A 16,248-nucleotide genomic window follows, 5' to 3' on the forward strand; every position below is an offset into this window, starting at 1 on the left:
AAAGCAAAAGCTGACCTCATTACCAACAGATTCATGGAGTGGGCTAACATTTGGTAGATTACCCAGTTCTGGATGCTGAGAAATGAAGGCCACCAAATGACTAATTCTGATGGGGAATTGGGAGCTGAGGTCACATTTGCAGCCAAGTTCATTACACAGGGGCCGATGAGCCCCTCCTTCATATCAGTGGGGCCTCAGCTCTTTCTGCATTCTTAGAACAGGGCAGCCTATGGATGCCTTTGTTTGGCTCAGGCAGCTCTGAAGTGCCAGACAATAAGGAGGCCAGGTGGGAGAAAGAGCTGACTCAGAACTGGTGTGAGGTGCCTTTGTGAGTCCAGAGGGTGCAGAACTTCTCAGACTCACGGCGGGGCTCCACATCTCAGGCCCCCTGCTGTTCAGCCCCTGCTCTGAGAGCACCTTGACTGCTCTCCTGTCAGCTGGGGAGGTGAGCGCCGACTTAGTGGGACAGGTGCACCAGGACCTCAGTTGTGGGTTCATTCCTTCATGATTGAGGGGCAGGACTGCGAGAAAGATGTGATTGACTGGACATGATTTCCTGTCCTCTGAGAAGTCACATGGAGGTGTGAGTCCTGTGACAGACAGGGGACCGACCAACCATTCTTGGAGAAGGTAGTCCGCAGGCCTTCTGTGAGCCAGGGCGAAGGAAGGTGAAGAGAGAAGCCTCCATATCATGTCTGTCCTTACCCTGAGAGGCCAAGCAGAGTGAGCCGGTCAGGAGCTGGAGAAAGGGCAGCTGGTGGGTGGGTCCCTTCAGAGGAAAGGGCATTTCAGGATGGCATCCCCTTTAAAGGGCAAGTACCCTGGTTGGGGGCATGGTGGAAGAAGAAGGTGAATTGGGCAAGGAATCAGTTGACTGCTAGCCAGGGGCAAGAAGGCCTGGGTGCCACATGTCAGCAACCACACCATTCTGGAACAAGGGTGAGGCTACATTTCCAGCAGTGGGAGCCTGCACCCAGAAGTCACATAGACCTGGATTCAAAGTCGTGGTGAAATTGGTCAAGTGATTTAAGGACTCTATTTTCTTTATCATCATCTGCAAAGTAATAATAATAATAATAATGCCCACCATATAAGGCAGAAAATGTTGGTTTTTCCCTCTATACCTAAATCATGAGGCAGGAATCTTCCTCAAATCAAATCATTGCTTCTCACTCTCTCCTTGCCTGTTTTCTTTCTCTTAGCTAGGCAGGTAGTATTTCTACATCACTTAGCACATGAAAGGTGATTTACTTTATAGAACATTCCACAAGCATTGTGATACACTAGACAGAGCGTTGGTAGAGCAGGAGATCTGGATTTTAGCTTTAATTCCTCAACATGTCTGCTGTGTGACCTTGAGTTGGGGCAGCCTGTGGATGCCTTTGTATTGGCTTAGGCAGCTCTCAAGTGCCAGACAATGAGGAGGCAATTTTTCTGGACTTCAGAATACTCATCTGTGAAGTGGGAATAGTACTATTTTACTCTAATCTCCTAGATTATCATGAGATACAAATGAGACACATGTGTGAATGTGCTTTGTAAACTCTTTGGGCATTTTAAAATTATTTTTAATTTTGGTAAAATACACATAAAACTACTGTTTTAACCAATTTTTAGTGTACAGGTCAGTAGTGTTAACTACATTCACATTGCTGTACAACCATCACCACTATCTATCTCCAGAATTCTTTTTGTCTTGCAAAACTGAAATTCTGTGTTTATTAAACAATAACTCTCCATTCCTTCTCCTCCCAGCCCCTGGCAACAACCTTGGTACCTCACATAGTGAAATCATACAGTCTTTGTCTTTTTGTGTCTGGCTTATTTCACTTAGCATAATGTTTACAAAGTTCATCCTTGTAGTATGTGTCAGAATTTCCTTCCTTTGTAAGGCTGAATCATATTCCGTTGTATGTATGTATTTTGTTGATCCATTCATTTGTGGCCGGACACTTGGGTTGCTTTCACCTTTTGGCTGTTGTGAATAAGGTTGCTATGAACATGGGTGTACAAATATCAATTTGAGACCCTGCTTTCTATTATTTTGGATATATACCCACAAGTGGTATTGCTACATCATATGGTAATTCTATTTCTAATTTTTTGAGGCCTTACATTATCCGGGGTTTTTTTTGTTTGTTTGTTTGTTTGTTGTTTTTTTTGTTTTGTTTTTTGAGACAGAGTCTGGCTCTGTTGACCAGGCTGGAGTGCAGTGGCACGATCTCAGCTCACTGCAAGCTCCGCCTCCCAGGTTCACACCATTCTCCTGCCTCAGCCTCCTGAGTAGCTGGGACTACAGGCGCCTGCCACCACGCCTGGCTAATTTTTTTGCATTTTTAGTAGAGACGGGGTATCACCATGTTAGCCAGGATGGTCTCGGTCTCCTGACCTCGTGATCTGCCTGCCTCGGCCTCCCAAAGTGCTGGGATTACAGGCATGAGCCACTGCACCTGGCCACATTATCCGTTTTTATAGTGGCTGTACCATTTTACATTCCCACCAGCAAAGCACAAGGGTTCCAATTTCTCCACTTTTTATGTCCTTTCTTTCTTTTTTTTTTTTTGGTTTGTTTGTTTCTGTTTCTTGGCTTTCTGTTTTTGTGTTTGTTTTTTTGGTAATAGTCATCCTAATGGGTGTGAGGTGAAAAGAAGACACAGTATTAGTCATTTATACAAGTAATTGATTTATTGATCTAATTATATTGAGGGACTGAAACAAAAATTGTGGGCATGGGGTCTGGCAATTTGTGGGGTTTTAAAAAAATTATTATTTTTTATTTTTTAGAGATAAATTCTTACTCTGTCACCCAGGCTAGAGTGCAGAGTTGCAACCTTGGCTCACTACAGCCTCAACTTCTTGGGCTCAAGCCATCCTCTCACCTCAGCCTCCTGAGTTGCTGGGACCACAGGCAAGTGCCACCATGCCCAGCTAACTTTTGTATTTTCTGTAGAGACAGGGGTCTCACTATATCGTCCATGCTGTTCTTGAACTCTTGAGCTTAAGCAGTCCTCCCACCTTGGCCTCCCAAAGTGCTGAGATTGCAGGCATGAGCCACCGTGCCCTGCCCTGTCTGTGTCTTCACAAGCCCTCTAGGTGACTCTGATGGGCACTCAAGTTGGTGCAGAGGGATGCAAGCGGATGAAGCTGGCAGTGCGTGAGGGTGGTCTCTGGAAGCCTAGAATCAGGTTCAGGACTTTGGGCTAGGTTTAGAACCCTCCAGTGACTGTTAATCACACCTGGAATAAGACAGATTCTCACCATGGCCCTTGAGGCCATGTGACAACCTGTGTGTCCCTGCTCCCTGTGCCTCCCTGCATTCTTCCCCTCACATGCTCCACTCCAGCCGCTGAACGCCAGTGGCTGCCAAGCTCCCTCTTACCTTTCTCCTCCAACTTGGCATGTTCTTCCTCTCTCTCCTATGGCTTCTTCCTCCTGATTCAGGTCGCAGCTCAGGTGGCGCTTCATTAGCAATATCCCTTCCCTGACCACCCCCCATCATTCTCTCATACTTCCTTATTTTCTTTCTCTTTGTAGTACTTTTTTGCTGCCTGAAATTATCCTGCATTTATTTCCTTACATGTGTGCTGTCTGCCTCCTCAGCTAGAGCATAAGGTCCTCGAGTCTGGTTCTCTGTCCTGTCCGTCAGTCTATTTCCAATGCTTGGAACCAAGCCTGGCACCTAGTAGGTAGCCAGTATGACTTTTTTTTTTTTTTTTTTGAGACGGAGTCTCGCTCTGTCGCCCAGGCTGGAATGCAGTGGCTCAGTCTCGGCTCACTGCAAGCTCCGCCTCCCGGGTTCACGCCATTCTCCTGCCTCAGCCTCCTGAGTAGCTGGGACTACAGGCGCCCACCACCATACCTGACTAATTTTTTGTATTTTTAGTAGAGACGGGGTTTCACCGTGTTAGCCAGGATGGTCTCGATCTCCTGACCTTGTGATCTGCCTGCCTTGGCCTCCCAAAGTGCTGGGATTACAGGCATGAGCCACCGCGCCTGGCCGCCAGTATGACTTTTTTATTCAGCAGACATTGGGATGCTCTGAGGTTGTTCTGAATAGTGAAGCAGCCCCGTCAAAGGGTGCCTTCTGTGGAGATTCCTCCCGTGGCTATGTGTAGGGGGTGCTGAAGCAGGAGGGCTCTGAAATGAGGGAAACTAGGGACACCAAGAGTTGAGTTGTGACATGAAAAGGGTCCACGCCGGTGGTTCTAAGCTGGGGGCAATTTCTCCCCCTCTCCCTCCTCCAGTGGACTTTTGGCAGTATCTGGAGGCATTCTTAGTTGTCACAACTGGGGAGGGTGCTACTGGCATCTACTGCATCCTCACAAGGCAGGAGGGCAAGTTTCTGCCTTCCGAAGAGTGCATGAGGCCTCTTTATAAGGGCCTTAATCACACTCACGAGGGAGGAGCCCTGGTGACCTAACTACCTCTTAAAATCCCCACTGCTTACTACCTTCACATTGGGGACCCCTGAAATTTGAAAAGAGACACATTCAAACCGTCGCCCTAGCGATGCTGCTGAACTCCCTACAATGCAGACAGCAGCCCCCCCACAGAGAATTACCCAGCCCCACGTCAGTAGTGCTGAATATTTCCAAGTCGGCAGAATAGGATTGTTCCCCTCTCTGTGCCTACGGTTAGGACTTTAAATCTCTTTGGCCACAGAGTGGGAAGACCACGAGAACAGGAGTTCCTCTGAGAATGTGCGTGCATCAAACTCTGCTTCTGTCTTTCTCTATTTTCTGCTTGGCGCTGCCTCCTGCTCTGTCTTGCTAATCCTGTATTTCTGTTCTCCCCCTTTCTTCCCTTCCTCCTCTTCTCTCCTGCCTTCCTCTTTCCTTCCTTCTCGCCTTCCCTGTTCCCTTCCCTCTTGTCTGTTTCCTCTTCTTCCTTTCTCCCTCTGCTCCCTCTCCCTTTGTCCCCCATTTAACAGCCCATTATGAATATTTGAAGTTTAGTAGGTTTATGGTCTCGGTTCTTAATTTTTAGAGTGGGTAATTGCGTGGGCTCCACTAAATGAAATTTACTAGCTCTTTCCTTCCATGGCATATGGCATCGGAATAGGACTGCTTTTTATCCCCTGTGGTAAGTGATATTTCTTTCCCCTCGTCCCTCTATGCATTTTGAATATTCTGACAACAGTCAACTAAGCATCTCTTTCAGGCAACAGCTCTTGAGGAAATTCATGCAGACAGCATGAGTTTATCCAGAAAAGAATACCAAAGCAGGTTAGTTTCAAGGAAACAGGCGGGTTAGTGTCCAGGAAAAAAACGATGCATAATATGGGTTTTTGAGGGAGGACAGACCTGAGAGGTGTTTGTTTTGCGAAGTGCTTTAAAGTATGTTTGAGACTTCGGCAGACGACTAAGGAGGCAGTGTGTTACGGAGGTCCCAGCCTCAGGGAGGCTGAGGGGACAGGGAGCGAGGCAGGGTTCACACCCACATCCTAGATGTGGCCTCCACCAGGAGGTACTCCCCAGCATGTAGAACAGTGACTTGATATTAATACATATCTCTTCCCTTTCACCTTTGGAAAAGGGCAACAGACAAATGATGAGAGATTATCTGAATATTATTTGAAGGAATGATCACAGGAATATTTTGCTCTTGCCCCATTGTGGGGCCCTAGCTTGGACTCGGAACCCCCGTGTCCTCCTGGATAAATACTCCCTTCCCTGTACTGGCTCCTTCCCTGGGGGATGATGACAATGAATAAAAAGACCCATTACTTGTGCTTTGATCTCCTGGGAAAAGAGACAGATAACTCCAAGGTGGAAACAATCGAAGTAATGGCCCTCCAGATTTTTCTACCCATATTCTTGCAAAGAACTCAAAGCCATTCTAATCTGTCATTTTCTCCTGCTTGCTTTTTTCCTTGGTGTGGTCAGACCTCTGGCTCCCTTGGTACTTGCCAGTTTTGATCGGAGGCCACAGGGTCCTGTGTTGTAGACTCTAGCAGGCATGATGCTCATTTATTCACAGCTTTGGCTAAAATGTAGAGATAAGACCCTCAGTGGTCCTATGGCTTAGGGTCACCCTGTCTAGAATCAGGGATGTAACATGATGGAGATTGACAGATGGGTCAGAAGACAGCATGGAGTGATGTTTGCCCAGGGGTGAGTGGATTCTTGAGATGGCACCTTCCAGCTGCCCCGCTGAGCTTGAGTTTCAGAGTCTGCCAGGCACCTAGCTTGTGATCTCTACCCTCCCTCCCCTGCCCCACCACCATCTCCCCAGTTCATCCATGAGTCTTTGAGAGCAGGGGACAGAACTACTTCATGTCTTCATGTCTTGTGTTCTCAACGGCATCTACCCCACTGGTGCCTGGCGTGAGGTCGGCGCTCAGTAAATGCAAGTCAAATTGAATTATCCCGGACAATGAAGCTGATCTGGGCTAGGTCTCCCCTGGAGGTAACAGGCAGACCTTGCCTGGCATCTTTGTCTGCACTAGACCTATGAAGGCTCCCAGCAGCCCCCATCACTCCCGTCCCTTCTGCCTTCATTCCCACTCTGTCCCATAAGTCGTCCAGAAGGCTGTCACCGGCGGGCCATTAGACAAGACAAATGGGCAACTCCAGCCCACTGTTCCTTTCCTCCAGCCTGGCTGTTTGTGCAGTGAGCCATGAGACTGGATATCCCGGGCACTGAACTGCCACAGTCGTGCATCTGGGCTGGCCAGTGCTGGCTGGCTGAGCTTGCCCAGATGTAGCTGGGGGCTCTCCATGACTGCTTTCAAAAGAGAACACATGGGGACTATCTTCCTACCCAAAAGAAAACCTACAGGGAGGTGAGCCGGTCCACAGAGAGCAAGGAACTGTTTAAGGAGGCTAACTGGGAATATCAATCAGGTATCCAGAGACCTTACAAAGTGGCCGTATACATAGGGCACTAACTGCAGATAGAATTGTCGGTGATGCCAGGGACTTTACTCATACATTTTGTTCCAGGGGTCATGTTCTTTAGCTAATTGTGGGAGTGTGAAAGATGAAGGGATAGACCAAAAGGTGAACCTTGTGAAAGTCCGAGAGTTAGCTCATATCAGGGTCAAGTGCTTAACGTGCCTAACATTTGCCTGGCTCTGTGCTGAGTTGTATGGGGGTTACAGGATGAGAGGAGACTCAGCTCCTGCACTTGGGGTGTTTCCGGTTTACACAGCAGTCCCGTGACACAGGGAAATGGTTCTCTGCAGCGCCTGAGCAGCTTGATTCTGTGCATGCCTCCGCGTCTCCATGCGCATCCTCCTGGTGGCTCTGTGCTCATCCCCAGCTAACCTGCCCTCCTGGCCCTTTTGGCACACACAGAGCCCCCACTCAGCGGGGTTGCCAAGCCCATCACACTTCACCTGCCCTGTCAGAGTGCTTCCTTCCAACCCATCTCCAGAGCAACTGCTTACTCAAGAGTGGCAGCTGCATTTCCCTTGCTCCCCAGTGCAACCTTCAAACATTTCCCCCATTCTTTCCCGATCCAAGTCCTCCCCTGCCTTGTGCCTGCCGTTCTCATGTAGGGCTCCTAGCCTTCCTCTCACTGCTGCCTTGCTCTGGCCCCATCATCATCAGTGTCCACGGGGCCATCCCGCTGGTGCCATGGCCTTGGGGATCCTCAGCCGCCTCCCTTCCGGTGGCCTTCTCTCCCACTCCATGTCACCATCACAGCTGCATTCTTGAGTCATGGCAGCCCTTGATCCTCTGCTTCTAAAACCATACATGTCCAAATCCCATGGTCTGAAAACAGCATCTTACCCAATCTCACCATCGCATTCCCCTGCTCCGCTCTTCTGCGTATCCTGGTATCCACATATTCCACAAATATGCAGCCTTTCCTTTCTGCTGGGGCTAACCCATTGGACAGCTTTTTCTGGGTGTTACTCCCTTTCCTGTCCAGTGGAAAAGGCCCAGTCCATCACCCTCGCCAGGTCCCAATAGCACCTTCACTCATTTGTCCCCAGTCCTGCCCACCCACCTGATCACCTCCTACTCTTAGTTGTGACATCTGCCTGCCTTGCTTCTGGCTGTGCCCTGAGGCTGCTTTCAGAAACACACCAACATCTCTTCATTTCAACTGGGTCCAAACAGAAATGCATGTACATATCAGAGCAGCTATTCCAAGCCCTCCCCTGAAGCCACCTTCCTTATCTTTGTCAGTCTTGCTAGTGGAAGATGAAGATGAGACCTTTCCTCTTTTCCGAGAAAATAGATGCCATCCAGCTCAGCCTCTCTCAACACCCCCCACCTACAGCAAATATTTATTTACAGCTGTATCTGTCAGCATCGGTTAGACCTGCATTACGCAGTGCTATAGCCATTAGTATTGAGCCCCTGGAACGTGGCTCATCTGGGTGGAGATGTGCTTTAAATATAAAATGCACACTGGATTTTGAAGTTCTGGTATGAAAACAAGAATACGAAATACACAAATGATTTTTATATTGACTAGAGATTAAAATCATAGTATTTGACTGGGTACAATGGCTCACGCCTGTCATCCCAGCACTTTGGGAGGCCGAGGCGGGAGGATTGCTTGAGGCCAGGAGTTCAAAACCAGCGTAGGCAACATAGTAGGACTCTTTTTTTTTTTAACAACAACAAAAAAAATACGAAAATTAGCCAGTCATGGTGGTGCTCACATGTGGTCCCAGCTATTCACGGCTGAGACAGGAAGATCGCTTGAGCCCGGGAAGCCAAGGCTGCGGTGAGCCAAGATCGCACCACTGCACTCCAGCCTGGACAGCAGAGTGAGACCCTGTCTCAAAAAAACAAAAACAGAAACAAAACATAGTGTTTGTGAAATTTGGTTAAGGAAAATATTGAAATTAATTTTTTAATTTCACCTATTTCTTTTGATGTTATTTTATTTTATTTTATTTTATTTTATTTATTTTATTTTATTTTATTTTATTTTTTGAGACAGAGTCTGGCTGTGTCACCCAGGCTGGAGTGCAGTGGCACGATCTCGGCTCGCTGCAACCTCTGCCTCCTGGGTTCAAGTGATTCTCCTGCCTCAGCCTCCCAGGTAGCTGGGATTACAAGCACTCCACCACGCCCAGCTAATTTTTGTATTTTTAGTGGAGATGGGGTTTCACTATGTTGGCCAGGCTGGTTTGGAACTCCTGGCCTCACGTGATCCACCTGCCTTGGCCTCCCAAAGTGCTGGGATTACAGGTGTGAGCCACCGCACCTGGCCTCTTTGGATGTTTTTAAATGTGGCTACTGGAAAATTTAAAATGACATATGTGCCTTGCATTATATTTCTTCTCTTTTTTCTTTTCTTTTCTTTTTTTTTTTTTTTTTTTTTTTTTTTTTGAGATGGAGTCTCACTCTGTTGCCAGGCTGGAGTGCAGTGGCATGATCTCGGCTCACAGCAGCAACCTCCGCCTCCCAGGTTCAAGCTATTCTCCTGCGTCAGCCTCCCTAGTAGCTGAGACTGCAGGCGCACACCACCACGCCCAGCTAATTTTTTTTTTGTATTTTTAGTAGAGATGGGGTTTCACCATGTTGGCCAGGATGGTCTCAATCTCCTGACCTCATGATCTGCCCACCTCGGCCTCCCAAAGTGCTGGGATTACAGGTGTGAGCCACCACATCCGGCTGCCTTGCATTATATTTCTATGGCTCAGCTCTGAGTGGGAATATAGGCTGAGCCACAAAAACAAAGGGACCTGAAAATGTAGTAGCTCCAAGATCAAAGTGTTTTTCTCTCACACATAAACCTGGAGGTAAATAGTAGTGGTCCAAGGATAGAGGGTGGCGGGCGGCATTGCCGTCAGCAGCACGTGATCTCTATATGTTCTTGTATGTGTCATTACCACCAGCCAAAAAGGCCAGGAACATCCAGGGCAAGGAGATGAACTGGATGGTCTGGTCACTTTACTTCCATTTGCTAGTGCAGGTTTAGCCCATGGCCTCCTGAGTTCAGGGAGGCTGGTAAGTGTGGTCTGAGCTAGGTGGCCATGCGTCTGTGTCAAACATAGGGTGTCATATGAGTAAAAGGAAAAAAAGGAGAAGGCACCCAAGAAGGGGGAGCCGTCCCTTCTCTCACCCCAGATGAGCCTGCACCTGTGCACCAGGCTCCCTCCATCTGCCTTTTTGCAGGGCTTGCTTCAGAAAGCGCTCCTTTCTGCTGACTTTCTCTTTCCCTTCCCACTGGCTCCTCTTCTGAGCCCTTCTTATCTTAATTTAAACACCCTTCCTTGGAGGTTGTGCTTCCCCCCACCGATTGTCCTAATTATGCCCCCTCCCTTCCCAGACCGGCTGCTTGGCTCTCTCCATTCACTTCTCGGCCGCTCCTCCACCTGCTGCCATCTAAATGCTGCCTAACCTCTCCCCTGGAAGGGCTCTTGCTGAAGTCCCCGGTGACCTCCTACTTGCCCAGCCCTGTGGAGAATGCTCAGTCCTTGTTTTATCTGACTTCTGTTCTCCTTAGATCCTCTGGTCTAACCATTGCTTCTCAGTCTTTTTCCCTACACTGTCCCAAATGTTGAGTCCTCAGAGTTTTAGCCTGGTTCTTCCTCTCCTGTTACTCACCATCCTATGCCAGATCCAAGTTGTCATTATCACCCTGACCCTGGGGACTCCCGGGTCTCCGTGTCTCCAGCCTGGATCATTATCTGGAGAGCCAGACCAGTAACTTTTTCTGTTGCTAAACAGTGCGCCCCGAACTTAATAAATACTACACCAAAATCATTATCTTTGCCCTTCTCCAAAAACAAAAAAAGAACAATCTTCCTCTCTATCCCCCTGTATTCTTTATCTTGGTCACTGATGTCACTATCTAAATTGTCAGTGAAGCCAAGAGCCCTCTTACCTCATCCCAACCCCCACTGATTTTGATTCTGCCCGGTTTATCTCACTAGAATCTGCCTCTTCTCTTTGATCCTCTTTCCGTGCCCCTCACTACCTGTCTCATTTCTCTTTCCTGGACTATTAAAATAACCCTCAAGCTGATCTTCCCAACTCGTATTTCTGTTCTCACTCCAGTGTATCTATGGGAGTGATCGCCCTAAAATGCAAATCTTATGACGTCATCGCCTGTCGGAAGCCCTCCTCTTGTCCCTCGGCACCTTCTGGACCTTCAGGCCTCCATCCCAGTTCACCAGTGAGACACACAGGTTCTTCATGCTCTTTTCCTCCCATCTGCCTTCCCTGCCAGGTGCTCAGGCCCCTCCCGCTGACTGAGCCAGTCACCACACACTGGAACACACTTTGCTTCCTTGCTTCCCTGGGAAGCTCACTCCCCTCCTTCAAGGCTGACTCTTGTGTGAAGCCTGGCAGGTAGTAGTAACTTAACACATGGGTGTTAGATAAATGCATGAGGCCTTCCCTAAAACTTGCCCCACCACCTGGAGTTTGGTTTCCCTTTATCTGTGCTTCCTTAGAATTTTGTGATTCTCTCTATGGAACCACTTCATTGTACAGTAAAGTCTGGCTCTGTCCTCTGACCCCAGGATGCCTTCCAGAGTCAAATGACCTCATCTTAGTCACCTGTGATTTCCCAGCACATGAACAGCTGGTTCATGGTGGGAGCATCGTAAGATTTTGTCATATCACTTACCGTATCAGGTTGTGGCTATTTGCTTGTATGACCATGTCCTTCTCTGGACACTTTGAAAGCAGAGATACATCTTATCCTTCTCTGCATACATAGTGCCTTGCTTAAGATAGGTGTTTAATAGGTATTTGGTGAATTAATAAAGAAAGGAATGATTGAATGAGTGAATGCCTTACCCATGTCAATTAGAAAGCAAACGATTAAGTACTAAATGAATGGTGCACACAATAAGTGCTTTGGAGGATTTGAGGAGGGTGAAAGTGTGGGGTGGAGCAGTTCAGTGCTTACCTGGGGCACGGTGGGAATGGGGTATGAGAATGAGGGTTATTAGGTAGGATTTGGACATGGGTTTTAAAAAACAGCTGAGTACGTTCCAGGAAGAGACCACCTGAACAAAAAAACAGGGCAAAGCAGCATGCTGTATTCAGTGTTCAGCAAGGACAATCTAGATGTAGCTAAGTGGTCATAGAATTCAGTAGAAGGTGAGTCTGCAAAGACATGTTGGGGCCAGACTGTGGAGGGCCTGAGGGCCAGGCAGGTGCATCTGCAGTGGAGAGTAGCTAGGTTGGTGCAAGAGAGACTGGAGGCAGAAGACAGGGTAGACATATTGCAAAAGAAAGCAAGGAGTGGCGGCAGTGGGAACAGAAGGGGGGCAGTGGGTGGGAGGCAGATCCCTCAGCAGTCTTTAGTGGGTGAGCAGATGGAGGGGCTGTAGGGATAGGGAGAATGCAAGGCAGCTCTGCCAGGGATTTGCATGAGACCAACTGGTGCTATGAAGTGAAACTGGGAAGCCAGAAAGAGCCCCCAATTCAATAAAAAGATAATGGGTTACATTTGGGACACAGAATTTGGACATTTGGACATTTCTTACTAGTAGCCAGAAAAAGGAGTCTGATGTGTAGATGAGAAATTGGGGGTGGAGATAGGGGTTTTGGAGTTATCTGCATAGGGCTGATAGTCAAAAATTAATGTTTCTTAAGGGAGAAATTGCACAATGAAGAGTGGCTTGTGGACTAAATCCAGGGTGTAAAATTGGGGGACACTTACATAGTGTCTAGCATTACATGGAAGAGGAAGGGGAGCGAGGGAAGAGGTTGGGGCATATGAGAGTTCTGGTTCTTCCATATCCATGTCAGCAATTGGTATGGTCAAGCTTTTTAATTTTAGCCATTCTAATAGATGTGTAGTAATATATCATTATGGTTTTAATTTGCATTTCCCCAGTGACTAATAATGTTGGACATATTTTCACGTGCTTACTTGCCACCTGTACAACTTCTTTGGTGAAATGTCTATTCGAATCTTTTGCCCACTTTAAAAATTAGATTGTTGGTTTTCCTATTACTGAGCTTTGAAAGTTCTTTACATATTCTGGATACAAGTCCTTTATCCAGCATGTGCTTTGCATGTAATATTTTCTCCCCACCTATGGCTTGTCTTTCATTCCAATCTTTTGAAGAGCATACATTCTAAGTTTTGATGACGTCTACTTTACCAATTGTTTAATTTTATGGGTTGTGCTTTTGATGTCATATCTAAGAAATCTTTGCCTAACTCAAAGATTTTCTTCTAGTAGTTTTATAGTTTTAGGTTTTACCGTTATGTCTATGGTCCATTTTTTTTGTTAATTTTTGCATATGGCATGAGTAAGGATTGGGATTTCTTTAACATATGGATATCCAAATGTTCCAGCACAGTTTGTGTAAAGACTTTTTTTCCCCACTGTACCTTTGTTAAAATCAGTTTTCCACAAATGCACGGGTCAAAGTAGTAATTATGAAGGAAGGAATAGAAGTTGGCATAGAATCCCTCAAAAGCCAAGACAAGTTTGGCTCAAAGATTCTTGAAGTTCTCCTGCTGTCAGGCGAGGTCATTGCATTGGGGATGGGAAGAATTAAACCTCGAAAGTTGAAGACTAGATGAATGATGGGCGTACATTATAGGATGCATGGGTTTCTGTGAAAACACATTGTGGTGCACTTGCTCAGCCTCTGCGTTCAGGGAAGGCTTCCTGAAGGAGGGGATGTCTGAGCCGAGATAGTCAGTGAGCAAAGATGAGAGTGCAGAAGGAGGAGAGTGAGCAAAGGTGTGCAGGCATGCAGCAGCACCGTGTGTGTGTGTGTGTGCGTGTGTGTGTGTGTAAGGGGTGCTATGAGTAGTTCACTGCTTCTAGAAGGTAGAGAGGGATGAGCAGGGAAGCACAATATAAGGTTTGACAGAGTCAAGTCAGATCTTGTGTGCCGTGCTGAGGAATTCCATTTATTTTGAGGATGGAAGCTTTTAAAGCAGGGCTTTACACTTCAAAGCGCACACTCTGGCAGCTAGGAGAGGGTGTGGTTGAGGAGCGCCAGGTGGTGGTGGTTGTGCCAGCCTGGAGGCAGGAAAACCAGATAAGAGTTAAGAGGTTGCAGTTAAGTCGTTGAGATGAAAGGACCGAAGTAGGGTGGTGGTGTTAAGACTGGAAAGAAGTGGACTGGTTTGAGAAATTTTGAGGAAGTACAACCAAAAGCAATTGGAGACTGGTTATTGGAAGGTGCGGAATTGGGTGAAGGCACGATGCCTGGGTAGCTGGTGCTGCTATTAACTAAACGTAGGAATGTTAACAGGAAGAATCTAGGAGGGAAGAGGTGGGTTTACTTTGGGTCTTCCTAAATTTGAGATGCTCTGCAGATACGTTCATGGAGATGTCACCAGGCTGTTGGATATAAGTAAAGCACACCCATGGAGGCGGCTATGAAATAGATCAATCAGGAAGCTCCTGGGAGGATGACAAGAAGAGGCCTCTGCAAAGACCTTGGATGCACCGTTGTTTAAAGGGGAGGCAGAAGAACATACCTGGAGGGAACAGTTAGAGCAGTGTGAGGAGAACCCTAGGAGAGTAGTTTCATGGAAGCCAAGGAGGTTGATTAAATGAGATAACATATATGCTCTTCTTAGGACAGCACCTGGCAGGTTGTAAGTCGTATTGCCAGCTAGTGATATAGTTAGACAAAGAATCAAAAGTTCACCAGTTTTGCAAAAATGAATATTGATGTTGACTTGGCAGGTGCAGTTTGGGTGGAGTGGTGGGGACGGAAGGCAGAGTGCAGTGGGTCGAGGAGAACATGGCATGGGGTGAAGTCAGCAAATGTTGAGTAGTCATTTGAGAAGCCTGGCTTGCATTGAAAGTGACAGAGAAGGGAGAGCCAGAGGGCACAGCTGGTCAGGGTGGTCAGGGGAGGGTCTGCATAGGAGGGGCGGGCCTTGACTGTTAGCACAGGGGAGCCAGCAGGCCTCGGGAGAGGCTGAAGAAGAAGGAGGCCTGGTGAGGCAGAGTCCCAGGGGAAAGGAAGGAAGGCTGTGGGTTGTCTGGAGCCCTCGTTACCTGAGCTTGTTGGGAAGGTATGGGGCACAAAGTCAACCAGCTCACTGAGAGTGGCCTCAGTTTAACCAGTGTGTGAGCTGAGAGCCAGGGGCTGAGAGCAGGGTGATGGTTGGAGGTGAAGGGTGGTGTTAGGGGTCGGAGCCCAGCAATGGTTACAGGTGAAAGGTGATGTTAGGGGCTGAGAGTAGGGTGACGGTTTGAGGTGAAGGCAGTGGTTACAGGTGAAGGGTGGTGTTAGGGGCTGAGAGCAGGTAGATGGTTTGAGGGGAAGGGTAGTGTTAGGGGCTGAGAGCTGGGCAATGTTTAGAGGTGAGGGGAGGTGTTGGGGCTGAGAGCTGGGTGGTGGTTAGAGGGGAAGGGCAGTGTTAGGGCTGAGAGCCAGGTGATGGTTGGAGGAGAAGAGCGGTATTAGGGGCAGAGAGCCAGGCGGTGTTTAGGGGCTGAGAGCAGGTAGATGGTTTGAGGGGAAGGGTGGTGTTAGGGCTGAGAGCCGGGTGATGGTTAGAGGTGAGAGGAGTTGTTAGGGCTGAGAGCCAGGCAATGGTTAGAGGTGAGGGGCAGTGTTAGGGCTGAGAGCAAGGCAGTGGTTAGAGGTGAGGGGCGGGTGTTAGGGCTGAGAGCCGGGTGATGGTTACAGGTGAGGGAAGTTGTTAGGGCTGAGAGCCGGGTGATGGTTACAGGTGAGGGAAGTTGTTAGGGCTGAGAGCCGGGTGATGGTTACAGGTGAGGGAAGTTGTTAGGGTTGAGAGCCAGGCGATGGTTAGCGGTGAGGGGAGGTGTTAGGGCTGAGAGCCAGGCGATGGTTGGAGGGGAAGGGTGGTGTTAGGGGCTGAGAGTCGGGTGATGGTTTTGAGGGTAAGGGTGGTGTTAGGAATTTAGAGTCAGGTGATGGTTAGAGGTAAACGGCGGTTTTAGGGGCTACGTTGTCTCCTCTCCAGAATTTCTATATTGAAGCCCCACCCCCTAAGACATCAGAATGTGACTCTATTTGGTGTTGAGGTAAGAAAGTTAAAACGAGGTTGTTAGGTTTGTCCCGAATCCAGTTGGACTTCTGTCTACATGAAGAGGAGCTCAGCACACAGGCATGCACAGAGGGAAGAAAGACCACGTACGGGTGCAGGGAGAAGGTGCCATCCGCACACCAAGGAGAGAGGTCTTGGAGGAAACCAGTCCTGCCCACACCTTGATCTTAGACTTCCAGCCTCCAGAATTGTGAGAAAAGGAATTTTGGTTGTTTAAGCCTTTCAGTCTGTGGTGCTTTGTAATGGCAGCCCCAGCTGATGCTAAGGGTCTGTGGTGTGGGAGGAGCTGGCTGAGCAAGCTCCAAGGCTGGTAGCGGCCCA

At 48.1% G+C, this 16,248-nt stretch overlaps 1 protein-coding gene across 22 annotated transcripts in view, besides 1 other annotated feature; it reads left to right on the top strand.

Annotated features, from left to right (window-relative positions):
- GRIK4 (glutamate ionotropic receptor kainate type subunit 4) overlaps positions 1-16,248 on the top strand; it is a 477,159-nt gene that overhangs the window by 266,838 nt on the left and 194,073 nt on the right. The window lies entirely within an intron of this gene.
- Positions 13,627-14,164: an enhancer, noted in NCBI's record as "NANOG hESC enhancer chr11:120662921-120663458 (GRCh37/hg19 assembly coordinates)". NCBI's record gives its function as "activates a minimal SCP1, AML or CMV promoter by ChIP-STARR-seq in primed H9 embryonic stem cells {active_cell/tissue: H9 hESC(primed)}" and the evidence as "EXISTENCE:reporter gene assay evidence [ECO:0000049][PMID:30033119]".

This window comes from Homo sapiens, chromosome 11 (genome assembly GCF_000001405.40).
Source record: "Homo sapiens chromosome 11, GRCh38.p14 Primary Assembly".
NCBI classification, from domain to species: Eukaryota; Metazoa; Chordata; class Mammalia; order Primates; family Hominidae; genus Homo; species Homo sapiens.